This window comes from Homo sapiens, chromosome 22 (assembly GCF_000001405.40).
Source record: "Homo sapiens chromosome 22, GRCh38.p14 Primary Assembly".
Taxonomy (NCBI): Eukaryota; Metazoa; Chordata; class Mammalia; order Primates; family Hominidae; genus Homo; species Homo sapiens.
The window spans coordinates 33,724,986-33,751,869 of record NC_000022.11 but is presented as its reverse complement, the minus strand read 5'-3'; the positions used below and the strand labels follow the sequence as shown (position 1 = coordinate 33,751,869).

At 44.9% G+C, this 26,884-nt stretch overlaps 1 protein-coding gene and 1 long non-coding RNA gene across 24 annotated transcripts in view, besides 2 other annotated features; one reads left to right on the top strand and one right to left on the bottom strand.

The window, feature by feature from the left end:
* LARGE1 (LARGE xylosyl- and glucuronyltransferase 1) overlaps positions 1–26,884 on the top strand; it is an 856,162-nt gene that overhangs the window by 170,955 nt on the left and 658,323 nt on the right. The gene's annotated exons all lie outside the window — the stretch shown is intronic.
* On the bottom strand, positions 1,053–26,884 carry LARGE-AS1 (LARGE antisense RNA 1). 2 transcript variants are annotated; one of them, NR_038949.1, is made up of 10 exons: positions 26,769–26,884; positions 26,114–26,258; positions 25,673–25,754; positions 24,238–24,379; positions 18,185–19,614; positions 14,087–14,306; positions 7,542–7,741; positions 5,413–5,455; positions 4,046–4,200; positions 1,053–1,266 (listed from the first exon to the last, which is right to left on the bottom strand). It is a non-coding gene; the product is annotated as an LARGE antisense RNA 1 (long non-coding RNA). The 2 variants fall into 2 exon arrangements; NR_038950.1 differs by lacking the exons at positions 4,046–4,200; positions 18,185–19,614; positions 25,673–25,754.
* Positions 12,720–13,239: an enhancer, noted in NCBI's record as "NANOG-H3K27ac-H3K4me1 hESC enhancer chr22:34134617-34135136 (GRCh37/hg19 assembly coordinates)". NCBI's record gives its function as "activates a minimal SCP1, AML or CMV promoter by ChIP-STARR-seq in primed H9 embryonic stem cells {active_cell/tissue: H9 hESC(primed)}" and the evidence as "EXISTENCE:reporter gene assay evidence [ECO:0000049][PMID:30033119]".
* Positions 13,240–13,759: an enhancer, noted in NCBI's record as "NANOG-H3K27ac-H3K4me1 hESC enhancer chr22:34134097-34134616 (GRCh37/hg19 assembly coordinates)". NCBI's record gives its function as "activates a minimal SCP1, AML or CMV promoter by ChIP-STARR-seq in naive and primed H9 embryonic stem cells {active_cell/tissue: H9 hESC(naive and primed)}" and the evidence as "EXISTENCE:reporter gene assay evidence [ECO:0000049][PMID:30033119]".

Here is a 26,884-nt window from a genome sequence, read left to right as displayed (position 1 = left end):
CTTGAACCCTGGAGGCGAATGTTCCAGTGAGCCAAGATCATGCCACTGCACTCCAGACTGGGCAACAGAGCAAGACTCTGTCTTAAAAAAAAAAAAAGAATAGTGGCACGTTTATATAGTGAAGTACTATAGAGTGATGAAAATGAAATTACTCTCAGTATTGAGCAAAAGAAGACATACACAAAATAATACATACTATAGGATTCCAATTATACCAAGTTCAAAAACAGGCAAAAATTAATGTAGGCTCTTACCAATTCAGATGGTGGTTAACTCTGGTAGGGAGGGTAGAACAGAGACTGGGGCAGGCCCCAAGGAAGACTTTGGGATGCTGCTAATAATTTAATTTTAATTTTTGTTTGTTTGTTTTTGTTTTTTTTTTTTTGAGATGGAGTCTCAATCTGTCTCCCAGGCTGGAGCGCAGTGGCACAATCTTTGCTCACTGAAACCTCTGCTCCATCCCCAGGTTCAAGCGATTCTCCTGCCTCAGCCTCCCAAGTAGCTGGGATTACAGGCGTGTGCCACCACACCCAGCTAATTTTTGTATTTTTAGTAGAGATGGGGTTTCGCCATGTTGGCCAGGCTGGTCTCGAACTCCTGACCTCAGGTGATCTGCCCTCCTCGGCCTCCCAAAGTGCCAGGATTACAGGTGTGAGCCACCACGCCCAGCCTTAATTTTAATTTTAACCTGTGTGATGACTATATAGCTGGGCTCACTTTATGATAATTCACTAAGTATTTCACTTAGGACTTGTTCATTTTTCTGAATATGTTATTTTAGTTTTCAAAAAACTATGCAAATCTTGATGGTAGCAGAATTTGAAGTGATTTTGTAGGTTTTGCATTGTTTTTAGATGAGAGGAATTTTCTTAACCTTTGGGATATGTGAATCTATGTCATTGTTGGGCTTTGAAGTTCAAATGCTTTTTAAGAATGAAACTTTTCTTTAGAGATCATTGTTTAACACTTCTATGTAATGACATTGGCTTTTTTCCTTTCTGATATACCATTTGGACAGATATTCACCCTATGAGAGTGGATCACAGCACTGATTTCAAGATCTGAAATTTACTCATAAAAACCCTAATCTGTATGAGTGTTTTCATCAGTTGGAAACAAGACCAGTATTCTTACCAGCTCTTGCAATGACACGGCTCTAATTAATACTAAAACAATATTACTGCTTGATATTGACCCCAAGCCACATTAGATAATATTCTCCTTTGTGTTATTCAACAAACATGCATTTTCATAAAATCCTTATTCCTGGAAATGGAAAAAAAAAAAACCTTTTATTATTGTATTGTGGAAGATATAGAAACACAAGAAGGAAATGTACTATTTAAACTATAACAATAATGGAAACTGTAGCAATCGTTTCTATTTATCGCATGTTAAACCAAGATTGGCTGCATCTGGCTTGCACTTGTGTTGGGTTTGGCCCGCCTACTGCTTTTACCATTTTTGAATTTGTTGCTAATGGTTAAATATTGGGAGATTGCACATAAGAAGTCATGATTTTTGGCTTTCCCTAAAAAAAGTGAAAAGATCTGCAAAACCAGACCCTCATTTCATCATAGTAGCTACTGGCTGGAGCTGAGTACTGGCTGTCCATGTGCACAGTGCTCGGATGATCCATTTTGTCACGATCTCCATCCTTCCTTGTTGATCCTTGTGTCATCCCTGCACTGTCGTTTACATAGAACAGAATTGAGAGGGAAGAGCTTCTGGTATCTGCGTATGGCAGTGGTTGACTCTGTCTGGCTCATTTAGACTTTGAGTTTCCACCTTTTGGCCTGGTGCTGGGCTAGGAATTTTACACATATTATCTCATTTATTCCCCCAAACAACTTCATCCTTGTCCCATTTTATAGATGAGGAAACTAAGGCTCAGGGACGTTGTACCGTTTGAGCAAGGCCACCAAGATAGCAAGGGAGCCTGTCCTTGTCTAAAAAGGTCCTTTATTCTGCAGTCACTGAAGAACTTGCAGATATAGAAACAACTGGTAGATGACATTTCAAAGTCGATATGCTCAAGCTTTAGACAAGGACGAGACAAACCCTGAGACAAGTGAAAATGGGGTATCTTGGACAACAGAGAAGACATGCGAACTTCTGTGGCTAGCAGGATTCTTATAAGCCAGTATAACGAAAAAATTCAGTTAATCCTTTAATGCAGTTTGCATTTTGTTTCTGTCATAGACTCATATAATCAAGAGAAGGAACGGACATCAGGAGTCATCTAGGCTGGCTTACAGCCTAAACAGATAAAACTTTTGAAAATTACAGAAGGACTTTTTATAGGGCAAATGTTGATGGTTGGGGGAACATAGCCCCCAAGGACAAGTGGATGGGAGTTTGAATTTTAGTAGACATCATTTAAATCACAGAGTGAAATAGACAAGTTACTCAACATCATTGCAGGTCAGTTTCTTCTCCATAAAAAGGAGAGCACAGGGCTGGGCGCTGTGGCTCACAGCTGTAATCCTAGCACTTTGGGAGGCTGAGGAGGGCGGGTACCTGAGGTCGGGAGTTCGAGACCAGCCTGACCAACATGGAGAAACCCCATCTCTACTGAAAATACAAAATTATCCAGGCGTGGTGGCACATGCCTGTAATCCCAGCTACTCTGGAGGGTGAGACAGGAGAATCGCTTGAACCCAGGAGGCGGAGGTTGCGGTGAGCCGAGATTGTGCCATTGCACTCCAGCCTGGGCAACAAGAGCGAAACTCCATCTCAAAAAAAAGAGGAGAGCACAACCTGTAGCTTACACCGCTGTTATAAAGACTAAATGACCTGTTACATCCGACAGTGGTCATTTAACAAATCTTTGTTTTTCCTTTCATTCTCATATTTTTCTAGAATCCTGGAAAGTCTCCTGGGAGGGATGCAAAAACGTCACCCACCTGGTCCAGAGAGACCCTTGTTTTACAACTGAGGAACTGAAACCTAGAGAACTGTGATATAACGAAGCTCACAGCCTCAGCAGCCTTCTTCAGGCATTAGAAAGGGGCAGGGAGAGACTTCCTAACATACTGCAGCTGTGGTCATAAATGCACTGGCACTTCCTTGTGAATGCATTGGCCATGTTTGGAGAAAATTAAATTATTTCATCAAAATGACCTGTAGTGAGAACTTTAAAGAACAAAGAGGAAAGGGCCATCCTCTGATGCAGAGTTTAATCACTTTCCTAACAGATATGTTGGATGGGGCTGTCTAAGTCCCAGTCCTCCTTTTAAATGCTGTGTGTCCACATTGAGTCACTTAACCTCTCTTACCGCAAATTGACTCTGCGTAAATTGGGGGTGCTGTTGAGGGTTTTTGCAAGATGAAAACGAGTCCATGGTGCCTAGCATGAATTAGGTTTGCAGAGTCATTTTGTCTCAGCAGCTGCTTTGGATATGTTGACTGTACTTCTGGAAGCAACAGGTCGCTCAAGGAGTCAACAGAGTTGAATATTTAAAGCTACGGGATGGGAGGTGGAAGTGGAGATGGGTGCATCACGAGGTCTGGAGATTGAGACCATCCTGGCCAACATGGTGAAACCCCGTCTCTACTAAAATACAAAAAATTAGGCAGGCGTGATGGCGGGCACCTGTAATCCCAGCTACTCGGGAGGCTGAGGCAGGGGAATCGCTTGAACCCGGGAGGTGGAGATTGCAGTGAGCCGAGATCATGCCACTGCACCTCAGCCTGGCGACAGACTGAGACTCTGTCTAAAAAAAAAAAAAAAACAAACCTGCATTGATAGGAAGAACCCTGGCCATGCCAAGATTCCTTCTTTCTGGGGTGGAGCCTTAGATAATGGATAGTTGGCTTTTTTTTTTTTTTTTTTTTTTTTTTTTGCTCCAGCAGAGGGCACACAGTGCCCCATTTCTGGCACACAGCCAGTGATGGATGCTTGAGGTGGTGTCCCAGCTGGGAACCCTCTCCATTGCACCTGTTGATAACAATTATGATTCATTTGCTTGGCCCTCTTGGACATGAGCTTTCTTGATACAGTGAAATAATCCCCCCATAACCTAATTAGGGAAGAAGGGTTTACCATTTCAGATGAGGTCACTGAGCGCCAGTGCCATTGGGTGGATCACCAAGGTTATTCATTCATTCCGCACACACAGTCAGGCACTGTCTAGGGCACTGGGCATAGAGCCCTGAGCCACATGGGCAAGTCCCCTCTTCTCATGGAGCTTAGTTTTCCTAGTGGATGGAGAGAGATGATGATCGAACAACATCATGCTCTGCTGAGTGTTGATAAGTGCAACAAAGAAAAATAAAGCAAAGTGAGATGATAGTGCCAGGGCAATGGGCTTGGTGAGGAGTGGGGAAAGGGAAATGCTGTGTTAATAGGGTGATCTGGGCAGGCCTCTCTTACTGGTGACATTAAGCAGAGCCAGGTGGTGAGGGGAAGGAAAAGAGTTTCAGGCAGGGAGAAGAGCAAGAGATGGAGAGTGCTTGGTGCTTTTGTAGGATGCCAAGGAGGAGTCTGGGTGGCTGGAGAGAAAGAGAAGAGAGGAGAAGCAACATGGTGGATGAGGTCAGGAGGAGAAGCAACATGGTGGATGAGGTCAGGAAGGGTAGGCAGGGACCTGTCACACAGGCCTGCAAAGTGGATCTTGGCACCTTGGCCTCTGGCTTCTCATTCCTTGCTCTCCTCTCCTCGGGAAGCTTAGTCCTTTCAATCTGGACTTGCCTTTAGCTGCTAATCAAAGTTCAGAGGAACCTGAGAGAGTATTTCCTCTTCTTGCCTATAAGGAGGTCACCTAGATCTCTGGTTCCAGCATTTGCTAGATGATAAGAATCACCTGGGGCATTTGTTTAATATATAGACTTCCAGTCCACCCCGGGGCACTTAATGAACAAGACAGCCCAGAATCCTGCCCTAGATCTACTAAATGGGGTTCCTCAGGGGAGGTGCCCAGGTGTCTGTATTTTGAACAAGTGCCTCTCTTCTGGCCCACTTGAGAAGTTTGACCTGGATTAAGTGCAGCCTCTGGGTTCCTGGTCTCAGCGCCCCCTCCTCCTCTCCTGGGCTCCAGGACTTGGATTTAATAATAACCAGCATGGTAACAACATCGCTGATGGAGTGCCTACTGTTTGTCTTGCACAACAGCCTCACTCCCTATTTTATCTCCTCTGACTTAAATCTTAGTTTTCACACCAAGTGCCTGGCAAATATATTGTTTGTACTTCTGTTAATCATTTATTATGTTGAATTGCACTTCATTTATATAGCATACTTCCTTTTTAGAACTTTCCTGTGGACTCTAATAACATTGCCTACAAAAGTGCCCAGCACAAAGTGCCAGTGCCATTGGGTGGATCACCAAGGTTATTCATTCATTCCGCTGGCCAAGTCATTGTTATTATTATTTGTTTGGATTTCACACACTCCAGATAGTGAGGACTCACCTTTCCGTAGTCATCTCCGAATCCTTAGTCTTTGGCAAAATACCTGAAATAGAGTAGATGCTCAATGAATCTTGAAGTGCCAGAAATAAAAATAATATTAGTTACTATTTATGGAGCATTTATTGTACATCAGGCACCAAGTCCTTGACTTGTAGTAACTAGTTTCTTCCTCAGAACTGTCCTATGAAGTAGGTGCTAATATTCTTATTTTGTTTTGAGACGGAGTCTTGCTCTGTCGCCCAGGCTGCAGTGCAGTGGTGTGATCTCTGCTCACTGCAAGCTCTGCCTCCCGGGTTCACGCCATTCTCCTACCTCAGCCTCCCGAGTAGCTGGGACTACAGGCGCATGCCACCATACCCGACTAATTTTCGTGCTGATATTCTTATTGTGCAGATGGGGGAACAGAGGCACAGAGAAGTTTGAAAATAGGTAAAGCTGAGATTGAACCCAGGCAGGCATGCCTTGTGTGATCTCTCTAAGGTTTCTTTCATTTCTTAAATGGGTATGATTCTAGATCTCTTTTTTTTCTATGTAAGGTCGCTCCCTCCTGGTTAGTTCTCCACAGGGATCAGGTAGAGTTGGTCCTCTCCCTATGTGTGAATAATGCCTCACAGATCCTAGGAAATGTACTAGGTCGGAACTTCCACCCAGGCTCAGTGGGCTCGGTTGTGTCTTTTATCACTTTTCAAGCCATGCATTTTCTTTGCCTCCTGGGATCCTGTGCCAGTTGCCTTGGCTTCTGTGGCTGATGGATGATTGGATCCAGCCTTTCAGGGCAGATTAGGGTCAGCCTGCTCCAAGCAGTAGCGAGAACCGGGCCCTCGCCTTTCCTTTCCTAGAAGCTGTATCTGTGAGTTAACGCTTCTCAAAATGCTGCACTTAGCTCACTTGAGCGCAGTTTGGGGGCAGATTGGTTCTTGGACTCTTCAAATCCCCAGTGCAGACATGAACATAAGCCTTCTGGGTGCTCAGATTGTCAGGGCACACACACGCACTGGTTCTGAGCCAGCACTGAAGGAGACAGGTCTGACAGAGACGAGCACCTCACCCACGGCTTAATTTCATGTTTTGGATAAACACTCAGAGGTGAGTGGCATGAAGGGGCGGATAAGCAAAGATCACCAAGAGTGAGTATTTACAAAATTTTTTCATTTTGCTCTCACCAGTCTTCTTCCTAATAGCTCTTGCTGCTCTGATGGCTCTCTGACAAATAGAAAGGAGGCTGTTTTCCCTCTGGTCCACACCTTTGCTCCAAACAGTCCCTGTATTGCATTCCAGATGCTTCAGTGACAGGTAGTCATCAGAAAGAGACCCTTGGATTGCATATTTTCTTGGCTTCTTCGCTTGTTCTGTTCCCTGGGTGAAATCCCTCGGCTCCTTCAGGCTTTGAGGCAATTCCTTCCCTCGGTCCTTAGTGTGGGATAATAGAAATTAACACTTGGTGGGGCTTTGCCGTGTGTGCTGCTCTAAAGCACTTGCATTTATGTTCATGACACATCACCCAGGGAGGCACTAGCATCACCCTCCTTTTAGAGGGAAAGGCAGGTGCAGGATGTTGAGAAACTTGCCCTAGGTCCCAACCTGTGAGTGGCAGAGCCACTTGTGTGGCCTGGAGCCCACGTTCTCACCCACCATATATACAGTGCATCTTGCTGCCTGTCTTTCCTCCTTCTCCTCCCTCCTTTCTATGACAATCATTTGGCTGTAGGTAGTTCCTCCTCTGTGCTGAGCACTGTACCAGTCAGTAGGAAACAGGGACAATGAGGTGTTTTCCAGGGCGTGAGCGTGGCAGAGCCATCCAGAAGTCCAAGTGTGTCCCCGGTGCAATGAGAACACAGTACATAAAACCTAATAGGGCCCTGTAGGGCCAGAGGTCAGGAGAGGGCATCACGGCAGCAGGCATGCTCTGAGGACCCATGGGAAAGCACGTTGTCATTTAGGAAGACACAGAGGAGCCACATAGCCTGGGCAAGAGGAAGACTAGCAGCTCCCAGGTACGCCAGGCATCCCCATTCCATTCCCATCACAGAGGAGCATCCACCTCCTGGGAGTGGGGATAGTAGGACTGGAGCGGACAGGGGCTTTGCAGTCAGAACACTCAGGGTTTGAAACCTGTCTGTTCCACTTACCAGCTGGGTGACCGTGGGCTTGTCTCTTGCCTTCTCATGTGTAAGTGGAAACAACAATACCGTCCTCACAGATGTATTTGAAAGTCTAAAGAATGATGAGTTTTGCAGGCAACTGACACATATTAAGTTCTCAGCAAATTGCAGATACTTGTTTTATTCCTTTCGTTTTTGAGGAGATCATGTATTGATAAACTTCAGATCTGTGATTGCAAATAAAATAGAGTATTAAAAAAATCTGTTGCGGCACATAGTTGTTGCTCAGTAAATATAAAGCAAAGGCATAATTTGCACGCACTTGGACTGGATTCACAGCCAGCGGGGCATGATGGAAAAAGCACAAAATGAGAACTGAGAGTGGCTGAGTGGATTGCTCAGGGTCACTCAGCTGGTATGTGAAAGAGCTCACTTTCTCATTGAATCTCCACAACAGCCTTGTGAGTCAAGCTGGGCTAACGTTATCTGTCTCTTAGAGAAAATTAAAACCCAGGGAAGGTGAATGTCTTGTGCAAGTCAAATTACTGGATTGTAGAATAATGAACTTCATCACTAAATAGCCATGTGACAAGTCGAGGACTCCCTTTCATCATCTGTAAAATGGGGGTGGTGATATCTGCCCTGACTACCTCAAAGAGTTGTGGTGGAGGTCAGATCGAAGAGCAATAATAAGCCTGGCTTCTATATAGAGAATGATCTATGGTGGACAGGAATTTAGGCCAGATCACCGGCTGGGTAGCCAACATACTTTTACAGAGAAGCAGTGAGGTGACCTGAACTTAGATGGTGGTAGTGGCAATGGAGATGAGGCAGAAGTGGCTGCCTGGGGATAGGTTTTGGAGGTAGAGGTTTTAGGCCTTGGTGATGTTTGGGTTGTGAAGGAGAGAGAAAGAAAGAGTCAGTGATGACTCCAGGTTTTGACCTGAGCAAATGGATACTGGCAGAGAGGTCGGTGGGAAGAGCTGTGTGGGACGAGTGATCCATGGCTGGTTCAGGACATATTGATAGCTGATCAAAGATCTGACAGTGAACTTCCAACACGCTCCTACCTGGGTATATTAAGCCATTCTTGCGTTGCTACAAGGAAATACCTAAGGCTGGGTAATTTATAAAGAAAAGAGGCTTATTTGACTCACGGTTGTGTAGGCTATACAGGCATGGCACCGGCATCTGCTTGGCTTCTGGGGAGGCCTCAGGGTGCTTACAATCAGGGCGAAAGGCAAAGTGGGAGCAGGTGTGTCACATGACCAGAGGAGAAGCAGGAGAGAGAATACGGGGAGGTGCCATACGCTTTTTAAACAACCATATCTCACAAGGATCGCACCAAGAGAATGGTGCTAAACCATTCATGAGAAATCTGCCCCCATGATCCAAGACCCTCCCACCAGGCTCCACTGCTAACATTGGAGATTAGATTTCAACATGAGATTTGGAGGGGACAAAGATACAGACTTTATCACTGGGTGTTGGAACTCTTGAACCAGTGACATCCAATAGTGAGGTGAGCTAGAAGCCAGTGTCAACCATCTTTACTAGGAAAATTAAAAAAAGACATTATTTGGAAAGAAAGATAGGGATGCCTTTTTAAAATTTCCAGTGGAAAAAAGACATTGTACTTTTGTTTTTATTATAAAGAAAAATCTGGTTGAAGTAAAGCTGAAGCATCTGCGTGGTTTTATTAGGCAGTGCTCTCGCCATGTGGTAGGGTAGAAAGTGCAGGGGTTCTTGCACCAGAAGACCTGGGCCCTGAATCTGATGCTGCGACTTGCTGGCTACATGGCCTTGGAGGGGTCCCCTGACCTTTCTGAACCTCAGACCAAGTGGGCTCCTAGTCCTTGCTTTAGGGGCTGGTATGCCAAGTAAGGGAACTCATACTACATGACAGTTCCTTGCACACATTGTGCTCGGTGCACGAAGGTTGATGAGTGAGTGATCGCCTCCTTTATGAGAACAGGATAGAAAAGAACAGCTACATCATCACATGAAGAGTAGTCACTGATGCTTGTGGAGCACTTGCTATATGCTAGGTGCTGTTCTCTGTGATTTACTTGGATTAACTCATTCCATCCTCACAACCACCCTATGAGGCTGGTCCTATTATCCCTGCTTACAGGCGAGGAAACTGAAGTATACAGAGGTTCAATGACTTTCCCAAAGTCACTCCCCTGGGAAGTAGAGTTGGGGGGACTCCAGGGCTCACCGTCTTGTCTCCAGGGACCATGATTTTGCTTACCAGGCTGTATTGTCTCAGCCTGTAAAGAGGAACCCTTGTTAGCCCCATCTTACATATGAGCAAACTGAGGCCCCAAATGGTTAAATGAACTGCAGAAACACAGCCGGTTGGTGACAACTGGTACGTTCTCATTTGTGAGTGGTTAAAAGTGGGGTATCTGAAGCTGGTTCTGCTGGGACCCTCAGCCAAGGAGCAGTTCTTTGCCCGAACAGAGGCTCCATCCATCTGGAGGGTGGGCATGGAACCCACTCACGTTCTCTTGCACACCCCTCCTGGCTCTGGGCTTTGGAAAGGTTGGATTTCTTGCAAGGTGATTGCAGGACAGAGCTCTTTCTTCCCGCTGCCATTCCAGGCGCTTGGCCTGTGCTTTCTCAGTGTCTCTGTTTCTGTGCAGTCGCTTTCACGGGGTCCTCACCTCATCCTGCCTGTGGCATCGTGAGAAATTATGGTCATGGGTATTTGCAGGCTGTGTTGGTGCTGCCAGAAGCCTGCTCTTCTCGCAACTCCAAGCCCAGCGGTGTTGGGTGCAGTTGTTGGCTCCGCATTTCTGCACTTGGCTGCAGCACACTTGGGTGTGTAGGAGAGTCTCAGCTCCCTCCACCAGAAATGTTTGCAACTAATCCAGGTGACTAATATTTGATGCTTCAGTTGTTGGTCTTTCTATAGATATTTATATTGCTATCAACCTGTGCCTTGAAGGTTAAAACTGGCTTTTGGGCCTCTTTAAACCATCTCCTGTGCTTTGCACTTAGTGGGAGTGCATTCAGTAGTTGAGGTGGTGTTCCTATTTCTGACACTTAATTTGCATTTTTAACCTACCCAAGGGAGCTTGTTATTGCATGATGTATCAGGTGAGCTATTGTCAAGACTGTAATCTAATTAAATGCTGGGGTCCAGAAGCCTCAGTGCTTATAATGTTGCAGCGTTTATTCCACACGTGTGGCCTTCGTGCTCAGAGTGCTGCTTATCATCCACACAGCAGACATATTTTGACAAAGGCTTGCCTTCTTTTATGAATCCCAAACTAGTAGCCTTCACATTTGCAATTTTCCTTCTATTTAATGAAGTGGTTCCAGATCATTCTGTGACAATCGAAGGTAAACATTGCTCTGCACAAGGCCTACTCTTCTGGGATTCTTCCATGCCTCTTTCACATTTCTCAAACTCTCAGGCCCAAATGTCAGATGGTGTGGGATTTGGAGAGTCGGGAATCCTGAGCATATTTGAGTTGAAAATTCACACAGAGCTTGAGTGAGTGAGGATGGCGGTGGCGGGGGAGGGCATGAACTGTTTTTGCTTTTATTTAATGGCGCACCTTTGAGAATGATCTTGTGGCTTTTGAGCAGGTTGCAGGACTTCAAGGTCTCCATAGTGGTTTGGTTTGCACCTTTCTTTTTGGATGTGGAGGTTTCCCCTAGGTGGCCAGCTGATTTTTTGGTGCCTCCATTTATGCCCTAACCCCTTCTTTTTCTCTTAGATCATTGCATACCGAGCACATATTTATTAAGTACCAAGTGTACGTCTGATACTGGACTAGAGTCCGAGAAAGACACTAAGATTAAGACATAGTTTCTGTCCTGATGAAAATTGTTCTTTTGTTAGTCTTAGGTGATAATGACCTTTTCTGAAGATAATAGGTCCTCGGAGGAAACCAGGAGATGAGATGATGGAAACACTGATTAATGAGTAAAAAGGGAAATTATAGAAAGGTGGGAAGCAAGAATTTAAGGCTGAGAGCAATCTTCTTTTGCAGGGAAGGACTCACTATTGCCATTTAGCATACTTGCTATAATAGAAGTATGTATGCCGGTGTTCAGGAATCCAGAAAAAGGGGCACCTAAGTATCTGGGGACATCCAAGAAAGCTTTCATGGAAGAAGATGCCTCCTGGGCTGAATCTTGAAGCATGACTAGGAATAGGCCAAGGAGAGGAGTCAGAAGACCACGCTTGAGTCCTGCCATTGTTGGGCTCTCCAGGAAGCGATGGTCAAGGTCTGTGTGCTGAGATCGTATGCCAGATGTGGTGTTAGGGATCGGCATGTTTAACCCAATCAGTCAGATGATCCCAGTAGGAAAAGCAACACAGCAAGTCTGAAACACTGTATCATACCACACAGTGCCTCAGCTCTCAAATTTCTCTATTGGCTTTTGAGCCCTGCAGAAAATCAGCTGTGTCTTTCTACATTCAGGGGGTCCTTCTCCGCTTCTGTACTCATACCTTGAGGTGCTCTCATCTCATCCCCCGCCTCCTTCCATGCCCTCATCTTTGGCTCTCAGTGATTCTGTATTAATAGCAGCGATTAAACTGCCTCATCTCATCAGGGAGGAGATATTAATCTTCATCAGGCCCAAGGAAGAGCTTAATTTTTTCCTGCTCTTCTCCTCTCCCCAGGCTGCCCCACTGAGCTCAGGCACTGTCAGCTGCACCACTGTCTGTGGGACATTTAGTGATCTGCTTCTGCAGATGCGTTTCAGTGAGTTCACTTCTCTGACTCCCTCCCTTAGCCTCCCTGCACCCAGAGCTTCACAGGCTGTTATTGAAGACCACTGTCAGGAGAGGGAGAGAAGGGGAAAAATACTCCCTCAAATAGAAATTCCCAACTTCATTGTCTTGCGTGGCTGCAGGGTAAATTAGACCAGGACAGTACCGCAGCTGAAAGCTGTAGGTTTTTTGGTTTATGAAATCCTATTCAGCCCTTGGAGAAGTATGCCTTTTTTCATGCTATGATTCTGCAGTTAGCTGTGAACTGAGGATGTCAGATGCCCAGGGGCAGGAACAGGAGACAGGGAGGCTCGAGAGTTCATCAAGAAATTAGGATGGAAAAGAGCTATTCCCAAAGCCAGGCATCCCAGGCTGGTCCTGCCGGTGTGCACCAACAGCCAGTGATAACTCAGCGCCCATCAAGTTTCTACACGTGCCCAGTGAGCCCAGGGCTGGCACGGTAAAGGACACATGGTATCTCTTTTAATCTTGACAAACTTGCGAGGCATGTACTGTTATTCCATTTTTCCAATAAGGAAACTAAGGCCTGAGAGAGTAAGTACGTACGCTGAGGTTACACGGCTTGCAAATTTTGTCTTTGCTTTCTTCACTCTTCCTGTCATACTCTGCCCACTGTATCTAGGATGACTGTATAATGTCTTGTCCAAACTGGAACACTGTTAAGAATGCGGGGGGGATAGGGACATACATGGGGACATACAGTTTCCAGTCCATGGAAACTGGGAAGCATGGTCTCTCTTTTTTTTTTTTTTTTTGAGACGGAGTCTCGCTCTGTCACCCAGGCTGGAGCGCAGTGGCGTGATCTTGGCTTACTGCAAGCTCCGCCTCCTAGGTTCACACCACTCTCTGGCCTCAGCCTCCCAAGTAGCTGGGACTACAGGCTCCTGCCACTGCACCTGGCTAATTTTTTATTTTTAGTAGAGACGGGGTTTCACCGTGGTCTCCATCTCCTGACCTCGTGATCCACCTGCCTCGGCCTCCGAAAGTGCTGGGATTACAGGCGTGAGCCACCGCGCCCGGCCCTGGCATGGTCTCTTACGACTGCCCAACCAGGAGGCTGAGGGATGCTTCGTGCTCCTTTGGAAGCAGAGCTAGCCAGATGGACACTATTCCCCCTTCCTCATTTCCCTGCCCTCCTCTCCTCCCATCTGAGCCATCTGAGGCCCCTGAGTGCCCTGCTGGCTTTCCAAATGCCTGATGCTAGAGAGCCTGATTAGTTTGCTTTCACAATGAAGAATCTCAAATAACCACTGCCCCTTCGCCCAGCAAGCAGCCTTCATATCCAGACCACCTCCTAGGATCTATTTAACTCCCTCTACTCTGTGGGATTGGCCTTTGTTCAGCCTTTGAGCACACCTGGGTTGGGGAAATGGTTATTTTTCCCAGAATGGGCTTTATTTGCATTCCACGAGCAATCTTCTTACTCGGAGGGATTCCTGGGACATTAAATTAGCAGAAAATGACATTAGCGCTAAGAACCAAATTCGATTACCTGAAATACATGTATTATTGTAAGAAATAAAACAACGTCATCTCCACCTCCACACCCCCAGATCATACCCTCACACTGAATTGTATTAATGCCAGTTTCCTTTTAGTTGCTGGCTTTGTGTGTGTGTGTGGCAGGTTGTCTCAAAGGCACAGAGTGTATAATAATAGTACATGTCAGCACAAGGCAAGCTTGTGCAGAGTTTTTCCCCATGTAATTTGCCGGCTCTTGTGGCTGTGGTGTGTGAATGTGAGTTCTGGCAGAGGCTTGTACACTCTGCCTTTACCCAGCCCCATCTCCCTAGAATCCAGCCACATCACTACTCACTTTTTCTTCAACTTGACAGTTATTTTTAATGCCTTCATTGTTGTCCCACTCTTTGCTTTTTCTCCAGGAAAGATTCTACGGTGAAAGCTCCACCCACTTCCCCCGTACTTGAATCCTTGGGAGACTTTTCACTCTTTGCTCCTGGAGGCCTCTGCTTATTCCTCTGTTAGCGCTGATCTTTAGGTAGAGTGCTTTGCACACGGTTGGTGTGTGATATGTCCTGGAAAATGGAACAGTGATATCACTACCTCATAACGCTGTTATGGACTTAAGTAATGCACCTAAAGCACAAAAATAGAGCCAGGTGTGTAGTAATTAATATTAGCAGTTAACGCTTGTTATGACTAAATGTTGGGAAAGTGTTAAAATGCCAGGACTTAGCGTGTGTTACTTCCACAAAACTGACAGCTCTGGGAGGGCAGGGGTGTGTCGTCTTATTCAATTTTGCATCCCCAAAGCCAAAGCCAGAGTACCTGGTAAATGCTCAGTGAGTTCAGCTGAGTGAATGAGACAAAAGCCCATGTGGGGAAGGGAGGCTTTGAAGAAGACATTCTATTCCCTGTATACCTGGGGTAGGTTTCGAGGGTGGAATGTAGGGCCTGAGATTCATCAGAAACAGTTATGGGACAAATAAGAAGCAAATGACGCAGGGTCATTTCAGGCTGCTGCACATCTGAATCTGACTGTTTACGTGGGGGTGCCACAGTCTTCTGTGAAGAGAGGGGAGGATCCCTTCTGACCTACACAGCATCCAGGTCTTCGTGCATGTCAGGGAGGTTTGACCTGTACATCTTTTGTGGGAAGCCAGAGTCATTTGTTGACATTGAGGCAGAGAACTTGCTCTGAGTCCATCGATGCCTGAAACTCCTTTTGTGACCATGGCAAGTTATTTATCTCCTTTCTAGAATCTAAAATATGGTGGCTTGGGATCGGGGGAGTTAAAACACATTTTTTATGGATTGCTATCCTCTAAAAAGAGTAAAAATGAAAATAAAGTAAATCAACCAAAAGATCAGAGCTAAAGCTGTGAGATTCTTAGAAGGAAACATAAGAGTAAATCTTTGTGACTTTAGATTAGGCAACGGTTTCTGAGATATGACACTAGAAGCACAACCAACAAAAGAAAAAAATAGATAAATTGAGCTTCATCAAATTAAAATCTTTTGTGTTTCAGAGGGTTCCTTCAAGAAAATTAAAAGACACAAAATAGGAGAAAATATTTGCAGTCATTTATCTGATAAGGGACTTATGTACAGAATAGATGAATAACTCTTATAACTTAACAATGAAAAGACAAATAAGCCAATTAAAAAATTGAGTGATGGATTTGAATAGATATTTCTCCAAAGAAGATACACAGGTTGTCAAAAAGCACATGAAAAAATGCTCAGCATCATTAGTTATTGGGGAAATGCAAATCAAAACCACAATGGTATACCACTTCACACTCACTAGGGTGGCGGTTATCAAAAAGAAATAACAAGTGTTAGAGAGGATATGGAGAAATCGGAACCCTTATACATTGCCGGTGGGAATATAAAATGGAACAGCCACTTTGGAAAACAGTTGGGTGATTCCAAAAAAAGTGAAATGTGGAGTTGACATGTGGCCCAGCAATTCCGCTCCAGGTATCTATGCCCAAAGGAACTGAAAACAGGTTCTCAAACAAAAACATGTACAAAATTTTTCAAGACAGCATTATTCATGATAACCAAGAAGTGAAAACTACCTGAATGTCTATCAGTTAATAAATGGATAAACAAAATGTGGTCTAGCCATACAATGGAATGTTATTCAGCTATTACAAGGAATGAAGTACTGATACATGCTATAACATGGGTGAAATTTGAAAACACGCTACGTGGAAGAAGCCAGATACCAAAGGCCACATATGTACATGTGATTCCATTTATATGAAATGTCAGAATTGGCCAGTCCATAGAGATAGAAAGTAGATTGGTGGTTTTGAAGGTTTGAGGAAGGCGGGAATATGGGGAGGGTTGGGGTTTGTTTTCTGGGTGATTAAAATGCTACGGAATTAGATAGCGGTGATGGCTGCACAACTCTGAATACCCTAAAAACCACTGAAATGTACACATTAAAAGGGTGACTTATTTGGTATATGAATTATATCTCAATAAACGTATTATTTAAAGAAGATAAATGGAGCTGCTGAAGGCAAAACAGGACCAGGAGACTTGGATCCCTTCATTCACCAGTTCTTTCAACCCTCCCTTTCCTCCACTGCTGGGGTATTTTCTGAGATACCTTTGTTGGGGAGGAAAAAAAAATCAATTTTTCCCTCTAAGTTCTTAGCTAGGACGGACCTCTGTAACAAAAGATAGATTAACAGGAGAAAATCAAACAGAAGTTTATTAAGGTGTGCATTTCATGTATGCAGGGGGGACACCCAGGGAGTGCATGGTTCTCAAAGGGGTGGTTTAGAAATCCAGCTTATATTGCATCTTCAACAAAGAACAGTAAGTTTTTAGGTAAGTAACAAAACAAAGGAAAAAGGCTTCGAGTCCCTAGGTGCAGCAACTGTGGGAAGGCAAATATCAAATACATGGGAATTTGTTAAGCAGATTCCTCCAGTGCCTTCTCCTGGCTGAGAAGGGCCAAAGCTTCTTTCATGATCAGCCTTTGTCCTTCCTGGAAGAAGGAGTGAAGGGACACTGCTACCTTTGTAAACTGATGTCCTGCTTTTAGGCAGGGCAGAGAGCTTTTGTTCTGTTTCTTCTCAGTTGTCTCTTATTCAAAATAATGCTTTTGCTAAAGTGACATATTTTGGGCTGGCAGATTCTGATCTCCTACACCTTCCAAGTTCCAGGAACATGTTTTGGAGGACTTCTATGGTTCCTTCCAACTTCGATATTATGTGTTTCCAGGAAACAGGTGTGAGGCATTCCATGGTAGCCAGAGGTAGCATGGAAGATGTTTCCTTTTGCCTATGTCTCTGAACCCCTTACTCTGAAGGGGCGTGACCACCGACTCTCCCAGTTTAAACAGAGGTGGGAGAAGGTCTTTGTGATGACTTTCCACTTAGTTTATAGACCAGTCCTATACCAGAGCTGAGGCCAGGATTATTAGGAAAGAGAAGCATGAACCCCAAACTCCTCTCCCTCATTGAAACATGAAAGCTAAACAGGGCTTCCATGCAATTTCCCAGGACAAAGAGAAACAAGCAAGAGAGAAAGCAAAAAGCCCTCCCGCAGATGAACAAAGAGTGTTTCAAAGCACAATACTACTGTTGTTTTAGTTCCTCTCGTAAAACTCTTCAGTGGTCTCTCACTACTAATAGGATGAAGTCCAGCATCAAGGCCTCTCATCACCAGTGTCATCCCTCACCTCTGCACCAGCTCCCCCATCCCATGGTCTCCCATTCTCTGTTCCTTTGACCACATCAGTACCCTCTTCTGCCGTCCTTGTAGGCAAGCTCATGTTCGTCTTTCAAGATCCAACACATCACTATGATATGGCTAGAATTGTGTCTCCCACAAAAGATGTTGAAGTCCTAACCCCCTGGTGCCTGTGAACGTGACCTTATGTGGAAAGAGGGTCTTTGCAGATAATCAAACTAGGATGAGGTCATTAAGGCGGCTGTAATTCAATTTGACTGTGTCCTTGTGCAGAGGGGAAATTTGGACACAGAATGACATGTACAGAGGATCAGATGATGTGAGACACACGGAGGATGTCATTTAGAAGCTGAGGACTCCTGAGGTTACTAGAAGCTTGGAGAAAGCCCTAAGCGTATCCCTCCCTGACACCCTTCAGAACCAATCCTGTTGACAGTTTGATCTCAGTCTCCTAGCCTCTAAAACTGTGAGGCAGTACATTTCTATTGTGTAAGCCACCCAGGTTGTGATTCTTTGTTTGTTATGGTAGCCTTGGAAAACAAATGCCCACCATCTCCATGAATGCTATGGTCTTTCTGCTTCTCCCCAGCAAGCCATTCAACAAGCCGTGTCCCCCAGCACTTTGTCGTTTGATTATTATACTAAATTTACATTATATTCACTGCTGTTTGTCTATCTCCCTAAATATACTGTGATGGCAAGGTTTATCTCTTTGCATTCCCAACAACTAGTGATTTACCTGTCACTTAGGAAAGATGTGGCTGGATGGATGGATAGATGGATAGATGGATGGATGGGTAAAAAATTAGTCTCTTGATTTCTTCATTCCAAAAGAGAAAAGCCAACCTGTATCAAAGCTCAAAGTTTCAAATGCAAATTAACATGTGAAAGATATATGTGTCATCTCTATTTGAGTCTCTTTGGCAGGCAGTCTTAAGTATGCATTTCCCAGTGTAAATAACTCTGGATGTGTTAAAAAGTTCACCAGTGTTTAAGTTCATTAAATTAATGTTGTCATTTTGAGCTGCCGAGTGTGTTGCAGGTTGTAAGCTGTTCATCACATTTCTTTAATTTTGCAGTAGTGTCATCTTCAGGAATGTGGGGTGTATTAAAAATAGAAGAGTTATTTTATATCAAAGAGCCCAGGACCAGGAATTAAATTACTAGAGTCTGCCACTTAATGCTGTGTGGCTTTTATTGATTCCTTCATTCAGGAATGCAGCTAAAATCTGAGAGCCGGCCTTCTGCCATGGACTCTGTCGGGCATGAGAGGTGCGGAGGTAAAAGCACCAGCTTCCACCCTCGAGTGGCTTAATACTCTGGGGTTGTTGCGAGATGAATGAAGCCAAATTCATGAGCAGAATGGTAAATGATATGGGGGACATTATCATAGGCGGCCATGGAGGCATGGATAGAGGGCACCCGGCTGCAAGTTGGTCATCAGGAAGGGCTTGATACAGGAGATGACATGAACACAGGAGGTGCTTTGCCTGCCCACAGGTGAGGGGGTGGGTGGTGTTTCAGACTCATAGAAAGGCGAATGCAAAGACCCTGAGGCCCATTCTGGGACTTGAAGGCAAATCCCTAGGAAAAGGGCCGAGGTGAACGGCTGCCACAGGAGAGTGTGCGAGTAGACTCTGGTGGTGAGTGCTTCAAAGGTGACTGCAATCTTCTGGATGCAGAGATTCCAGGGGGCTTCTAATATATGCAGCCCTATACATTCAATCTTTTCCCCATTTGCGAAGAATTTGCTTACTTAGACTTTCATTACTCACCTATTCTTCCATTTCTGGAACACAGACTCTGGTGTCTGGTACTATGCTCAGCACTGTGCATGTGTCAGTGACTCAACCAAGCGTCCTGGAGTTTCTGTTTGGAGAGGAGGCCTCATATTCTCTGTCAACTTCCCAAATCTTGTTCACTGCATTCCTGGATCATAGGCTGGTTCCTTCTCCCCGCTTCTCCTGCGAACTCCTGCCCCAGGGCCTTTGCACTGGATTCTGGTTCTGTTCTACTGCCCTTTCAGATCTACTCATTCTTCTTCAGGGCATCCACAGGCTTCCTGGCCCCTCAGCTCCCTTTTGTGAGGTCTTCTGCAGAAGATCAGCCAGAAGGAAAGGAGGGAGGCCAGGGATTCCCCAGCCCCGCCCGCTCCCCGAGGCTGCTTCTCTGTGGGCAGAAGGAACGAAGCAATGAAGACCACAGCTCCTGCACACGACCTTTCTGTGCTGTTCTTGTGTCTCATTTCTGATGTCCTTTCTGGGACCACTTCAGGCCTAGAGGTGACATGGTGCCTACTATCACTAACCTGGGGCTACCGAAGCTCTTGTTGTTTCCGTAAGCCCTGCTTTTCTTTTTTGTTTCATGAATTTACTGCATAATAGATAAGGTGATTTCAGAAGACATAGTATAGCTGAATAAAAGCAAGGCATTTGAATGCTTAATCATTATTTTCCTGTAGCGAAATATGGTCTGAATACAAGGACTTTTAAGTAGATTAATTACTGATTCAGTGACTATATCTAAAGCTGCCTTGTTTGTTTTTAAAACGACTTTATAGAGGATGAAAGACATACAAAAAGCTGTACATATTTAATGTGTACAACTTGATGAGTTTGCAGATAAATGTACACTGGTGAACCCATTACCACAGTCTATAATCCATCACCTCTGTTTCCTGCTGCCCTCTTTATTTATTATTAGTGATAGGGCTTAACATAAATCTACCCTCCCAGCAAACTTCGAAGTCTACGATACAGTATTGTTAACTATAGGCTCTGTGTTTTGCAGTAGCTCTGTAGGACTTACTCATCTTGTGTAACTGTAATATTGTACCCTTTGAATAATACCTCCACATTTCTTCCTCCCCCCAGCCCCAGGAAGCACCATTCTACTCTGTTATTACACGCTCTTCAAATTACCCAGTTTGAGTATGGCATCTTTTTCCTGCTACAGCTCTGACGAATACAACTAGCCATTCCCTTTCCTGAATTTAACAGCTCTGACGAATACAACTAGCTATTCCCTTTCCTGAATTTAACCTCCTCAGATATCCAAGTTTTGCCCCAATATCACTATCTCAATAAGTTCTCTCGGGTCATTCTACTTAGAAATGCAGGCCGGGCTGGGTGCGGTGGCTCATGCCTGTAATCCGAGCACTTTGGGAGGCTGAGGTGGGCGGATCACAAGTTCAGGAGATCGAGACCATCGTGGCTAACATGGTGAAACCCCGTCTCTACTGAAAATACAAAAAATTAGCCAGGCATGGTGGTAGGCGCCTGGTAGTCCCAGCTACTGGGAAGGCTGAGGCAGGAGAATGGCGTGAACCCGGGAGGCGGAGCTTGCAGTGAGCCAAGATCACACCACTGCACTCCAGCCTGGGCAACAGAACAAGACTCCGTCTCAAAAAAAAAAAAAAAAAAAAATTGCAGGCTGGGCGCAGTGGTTCACGCCTGTAATCCCAGCACTTTAGGAGGTGGAGGTGGGTGGATCACCTGAGGTCAGGAGTTCCAGACCAGCCTGACCAACATGGTGAAATCCTGTCTCTACTAAATACAGAAAAAAATTAGCCGGGTGTGGTGGCGCATGCCTGTAATCCCAGCTACTTGGGAGGCTGAGGCAAAAGAATCGCTTGAACCAGGGAGGCGCGGAGGTTGCAGTGAGCCGAGATAGCACCATTGCACTCCATCCTGGGCAACAAGAGTAAAACTCCGTCTCAAAAAAAAAGTAATTATAATAAAAATAAAATAAAATAGAAATGCAACCCCCTCTCCACTTCTCATCATTCATCCCTACTTAATTTTTCTCCTTACCACTTTTTAATATGTTGTATAATACAGTCATATTACAGTTGACCCTTAAACAACATGGGAACTAGGGACACTAACCCCCTGCACAGTCAAAAATTCGTGTAAGCTTTCAAAAACAATTTTATGGATACATAGTAGGTGTATAGATTTACAGCGTGCATGAGTTGTTTTGGTACAGGCATGCAATGTGAAATAAGCACATCGTGGAGATGCATATAACTTTTGACTTCCTGAACATTTGACTCTTGATAACCTACTGTTGACCAGAAGCTTTAACAGTAACAGTTGATTCACATGTAGTTTGTATGTATGTTATATATTATATACTGTACTCTTACAGTGAAGTAAACTAGAGAGGAGAAATTGTTATTAAGAACATCAAAAGGAAAATATATTTACTATGTATTAAGTAGAAGCAGATCATCATAGAGGTTTTCATCTTCATCTTCATGTTGAGTAGGCTGAGGAGGAGGAGAGATTGGTCTTGCTGTCTCAGGGGTGGCAGAGGCAAGAGAAAATCTGTGTATTTGTGGACTCATGCACTTTAAACCCGTGTTGTTCAAGGGTTAACTGTATTTTGGTCTCTGTCTCCCTCAACACACACACGCACGCATGCACGCACACACACACGCATGCACACACGCACACACACACTTCATGAGGGCAGGGACTTCTGTCATTTCCATACCCCAACAATGAGACTCATGCCTGGCATCTTATAGGTCCTCCATAAATACTTGATGAGGGGAGAACGGGTAAGCATGAGAGCCTCTACATGTGTGTACGCTAACTCATTTGCTTCTCTTGACAGCCTTCCTCAGGAAGCAGAGATAAAGATCTTTGCAACTGTAGGAACCAAGGCTTAGGGAAGGGGCTAGGGCCATGTCCATCCTGTGTTCCTGTTGTTGATCTTCATTGTCCTTGATAGCGCCTGTTGTTTGGGAATGGGCTTTGCAGGCCCTTAAATAAGGGCACCCAGCTCTTTGAGGGATTGGTGGCATTTTCAGTGGAAGTAAATGAAAAGCCTCCTAATGTGGCTACTTTGAAGCAGACCAGAGTCATTGGATGGAGGAAGTCTGGTGTGTTATACCCTAACTGATCATATTATTAGCATATTTATCTCTCATGATATTGAGCACAGCAAGTAAATTTGATTCCTCATCTTCTGGAATGCATTAGTGATAGTTTATATCCCTTGAAAGGCTGAAGCTTAACCCATTTCCCATGACATTGTTCAATGTCCCTTCTGTCAAAGGAGAGAGACCTAATTCAACTCATGTCTTTTTCTCTTCCTTCTGAGGCTGCTGCCTTAAAATTGGATGGTTGATTGCAGTCAGTATCTTTGGCTGTGACTTCATGTAATTATTTCCTTCCCAATTCCTTTCCCCATTGCATATTGCCTTTTGCTTAATCTGCACTTTGGTGTTCTATATACATGTGTTTTAATTGTAAGTTAACTCATTTTGGGGGAGGGCAGGAATTAAGGTTTATATTATAAATGAAACAAGAATTCTTATCACTATATCATCGTCAGTTCATCATCTCTATGCATTATTTTATGATGACACTACATAAATTGGTTTCTTTTCTGAAATAAAAGCTCATTCCAAGAATGCCTTTTTTTGTGGGGAGGGGGGTGACAGTTAATACCTTTGAGCTTCTGGATCTTTTTACAAACATTATCAGACAAGTAAAGAAAGCTGGATATTATTTCTTTGGCAAAGTAGAGAAAGCTGAGGCCAACCGCAGGCCAAGGACTCACTCACCTAATACTATATTTACTCCCTTCCTCTATCCGTAACCGTGTGTTTGTAGACTTGATAATTATTGAGTGTCTACCTCATGGGTGTAGACCTATGGGTCCTGCCCTCTAGTAGCTAGTGAGGAAGTGGGACACAGCAGGCCAGTCTAGTATAGCATCCTACCTGCCTAACAGGCATTGCCTACTGGGAGTGTGTCTGTCCTGGAGTGTCAGGGACAACTTCCCACAGGTGGTACCTGGAAGAAATCCCCTGGAAATGTGTCTCTGTTGTTGGTTTTTTTTTTTTTTTTTTTTTTTTTTTTGGTGGTAGGGGTGGAGACGGAGTCTCGCTTTGTTGCCCAGGCTGTAGTGCAGTGGCGTGATCTTGGCTCACTGCAGCCTCTGCCTCCCAGGTTCAAGCGATTCTCCTGCCTCAGCCTCCTGAGTAGCTGGGATTACAGGCATGCACCCCCGTGCCTGGCTAATTTTTGTATTTTTAGTAGAGACGGGATTTCACCATGTTGGCCAGGCTGGTCTTGAACTCCTGACCTCAAGTGATCTGCCTGCCTTGGCCTCTCAAAGTGTTGGGATTACAGGAGTGAGCCACTGAGCCTGGCCGTTCTGGAAATTTTTTAATTTGTGGGATAAAGAGTCTGTAGGCTGGAGGAATAGCCTGCATATGTGTATAGGTGTAGATGATGAATACGGGATACTACAAGTGGAGTTGGGGCTACTGAAGTAGACAGGAGCCAGATCATATGAATTGAGTAGCACAGTTGATGTGAAGTCATTTCAAGGGCTTTGAGCAAGACATTGCTGGATCAGACTTGGGTTTTCTCTCTGTTTATATGGACACTTGGCCTTTGATATCAGGGCTTGTGAGTGCAGATCCATCTACCTGACCCCTGAATACCCCTTACCTGTCCCCAGTCCTTTGATCTCACCTCTCCTCCCTGCTGATGTCTTTAATGCTGGCCCTGCTCTGCTCAAATCTCACCTGCCCTAAGAAGCTTCCCCTGACCTTTCCAAGCCTCAGGAAGTCCCTGCCTTCCCTGACTGTCGTTGCCTTGGTTTTCTGTGTTAGCCATTTAGAGAGAGGAACTAGTTTCAGGTCCCAGCCTTATCAGCCAGTATATTTGTGATATCACGTGTATCATGTGATTCTTCTGGGTCTTACTTTCTGCATCTATAAGATGGACATGATAATAATACTTTCCAGACCAAGAAGATAAACAGACATACATTTGTATTCTTCCTCAAGCAAATGTGAATTTGTGCTAGATCACCTTCCTCTTAAACGACATTCCTGGTGGGGATTGAAGCCACAGGGCTCTAGTAAGCTACATCTCTCTCCACGTTCTGTTTTCCATCTTCACTGACATTGCTGTAGGGTGGTGAGAGAAACAGGGCATTAGATACACTCTTTTACTTTATTTGGTTTAGCAAAATATTAGCACCTTTATGGGTCTTGGTTCCTCATTGCGATATATACAAGAGTAATACCTACTACCTCCTTTAATGAGAGAATTGAATCAGATGGTGAATGGATCACCCTCTGTTCAGTGCCCAGCCCCAAACAGATGCTAATTAAATGGCTTAATCAAACCAGCTCAGGCTGTTACTGGATGTCATCCCTTGGCACAGTCTGACATTTCTTGATTCTTGTTAACAGCCCTATAACAATATTGTCATAAGAAATAGAAAACATCATTTTCTTTAGGGACCAATTTGGAGCCCATCCATAACTGTCTTCCAGCTCCTCCTGGCTTCCCCCTGTCACCTTGACCTTCAGGGAGCCTTGTTTCTGCTGCCGGCATTGACCCATCCGTGCTAGCCATGACAGACTGATTCTCCCTACCCGGCTTTTCCAAATCTACTCACATCTCATCTCAAAACCTCTTTCTCTCATCCATATTGCCTTGCTTTCTCATTCCTTTGCCATTTAGTAGGTAATGATTTCTATTAAGATGATCATCAGGATTTATTGAGCAGAGAGGTAGATATTGACACTGACTGGGAGGCATGATCCGAGTGGGGAGGGAATTCTGTCCCTGCACCCCAATTCCCCCAGTCTTGCCTGCTGCTTATAAAGTTAGCTGGAGTCCCAGTGTAGTGCCCCATCTGTGCAGTAGGGAAATTGCCCACCTTGGGGCTGGCCAAGTAATGGAAGCTTCACAAATACACCATATTAAAAAGGACTTTGCACATCTGGCATTAGAATATTTCCAGCCCTGGCTCAGTGCTTGGCACAGGTGGCTGTTCACAGATATTTTTAGAAGCAAGGAAAGGAGGAGGGGAGGAGTATATCATAAGACATTTGGCATCTCCTGCCTTTGCTGAGTAAAGGGGAAGGAATTTAGGATTTGTACGGTGAATATTGCCACGTGTTTACGAGTATTTATATAATGCTAATATTTCAGTTGCAGGGAAAAACTTGTCCTGAAGATGTTAAAGCTGGAAGTCAGTGATCTTCTACACCTCCTGGAATTTTATAGCTGTGTGCTCTCAGGTTTAGAGTCAGGAGGGGAAGGCCCAGGGCCATGTGTCATTTCTTGGCAGAGCTTGGCTTAGGACTACTTTTCATCCATTCCCTGTTCTTTTCCATATTTCCCAGTTTTCCCATTTTTGTCTCAATCTGTCTGCCTGTCTGTTGCACTCTACCCATCTACTTATTTACCTGTCGGCTTCCACTGTGCTCTAGAATGTTGCCCACTGTGATCTTTTGGGCAAGTTAATGTCTCAGGGCCCAGTTTCCTCAACTGGAAAAAAAAAAAAAAAAGAGTAGCTGTGAAAATAAATAGTGATTTATAAGCGCTAGATTTTGGGGGCTGGAGAATCCTTCCTTATGGGGGGCAGGGAGGCTGTCTTGTGAACTGTATGACATTTTGCAGCTTTCCGAACCTACTATGTACCAGCAGCATCTCTCCCCTGATTTGTGACTCCAAAAGTGTCTCCAGACATTGCCAAATGTCTCCGCGGCAGGGGGGCAAATTGCCCTTGGCTGAAAAGTACTGGCACAGAGTAAGCAATTATTAAATATTGTTTTAAAAAAAACACTGTCATTATGACTATTCTGCAGTTATTTAATTTATCTGAAAAGTGTTCATTTGGTGCTTACTGTATATACTGCAGAGCTCTGAGCCGTGAGAGGCAAGTGGAAAATGTAAGCCTGATGTTCTTGCTTTCTAGGAGATTACGATGCGGTTCACAGTCACACACCTGTGGATGGGCTTCCGAGGGGGCTTTGAACGTTTTGTTTCAACCTAAATTTAGCAAAAGGACAATTGTGAGGCTTGAGAGGCATGTCTGCATGCTCCCAGACCTTCTCTTTGGGTTCGTGGTCCTCCCCTACCCTGCCCCTTTTGATTACCAGTGAATGCAGCAGTGGTGACAGGTAAATGACCTTGTTGGTTGGTCCTCTAGTTCCTGATGAACCCTCAACTGGGAGGGACTGTCTGTGAATCAGAGCAGCTGGCTCTTTGAAAAGAAAGGCACTATTGCACAGTTGCTGCTGCTGACCCTTGCATTCAGAATACCGGCCGAGGCCAATGGGCAGGTCACCACCCTGTCGCCTCTGTGCTCCTGCCTCCCAGACCACATCCTGGGATTCTTCCCTCGCCCCATGCAGTAGCAGAAGGGTGTCACAAAGCGACTCTGCTCAGACCCACCATCAGACCTGACCGCTGGCCTTTCCAGAGCTTCCAGAGCCACTCAGCCCTGCCCTCCTGGCTCTGCCTCCCGCGGCCCCCACCCTTGTGTCTTCTCTTACTCACCTCACACACACCTGCTCTCCTCACTGTGCGCACTGCCCTGGCCCCGCTTCTGGGAATGCTCTTTCCATGGATCCCTTGTAGCCCCTTTACTTCCTGCAGGTCTTTGTTTACACTTC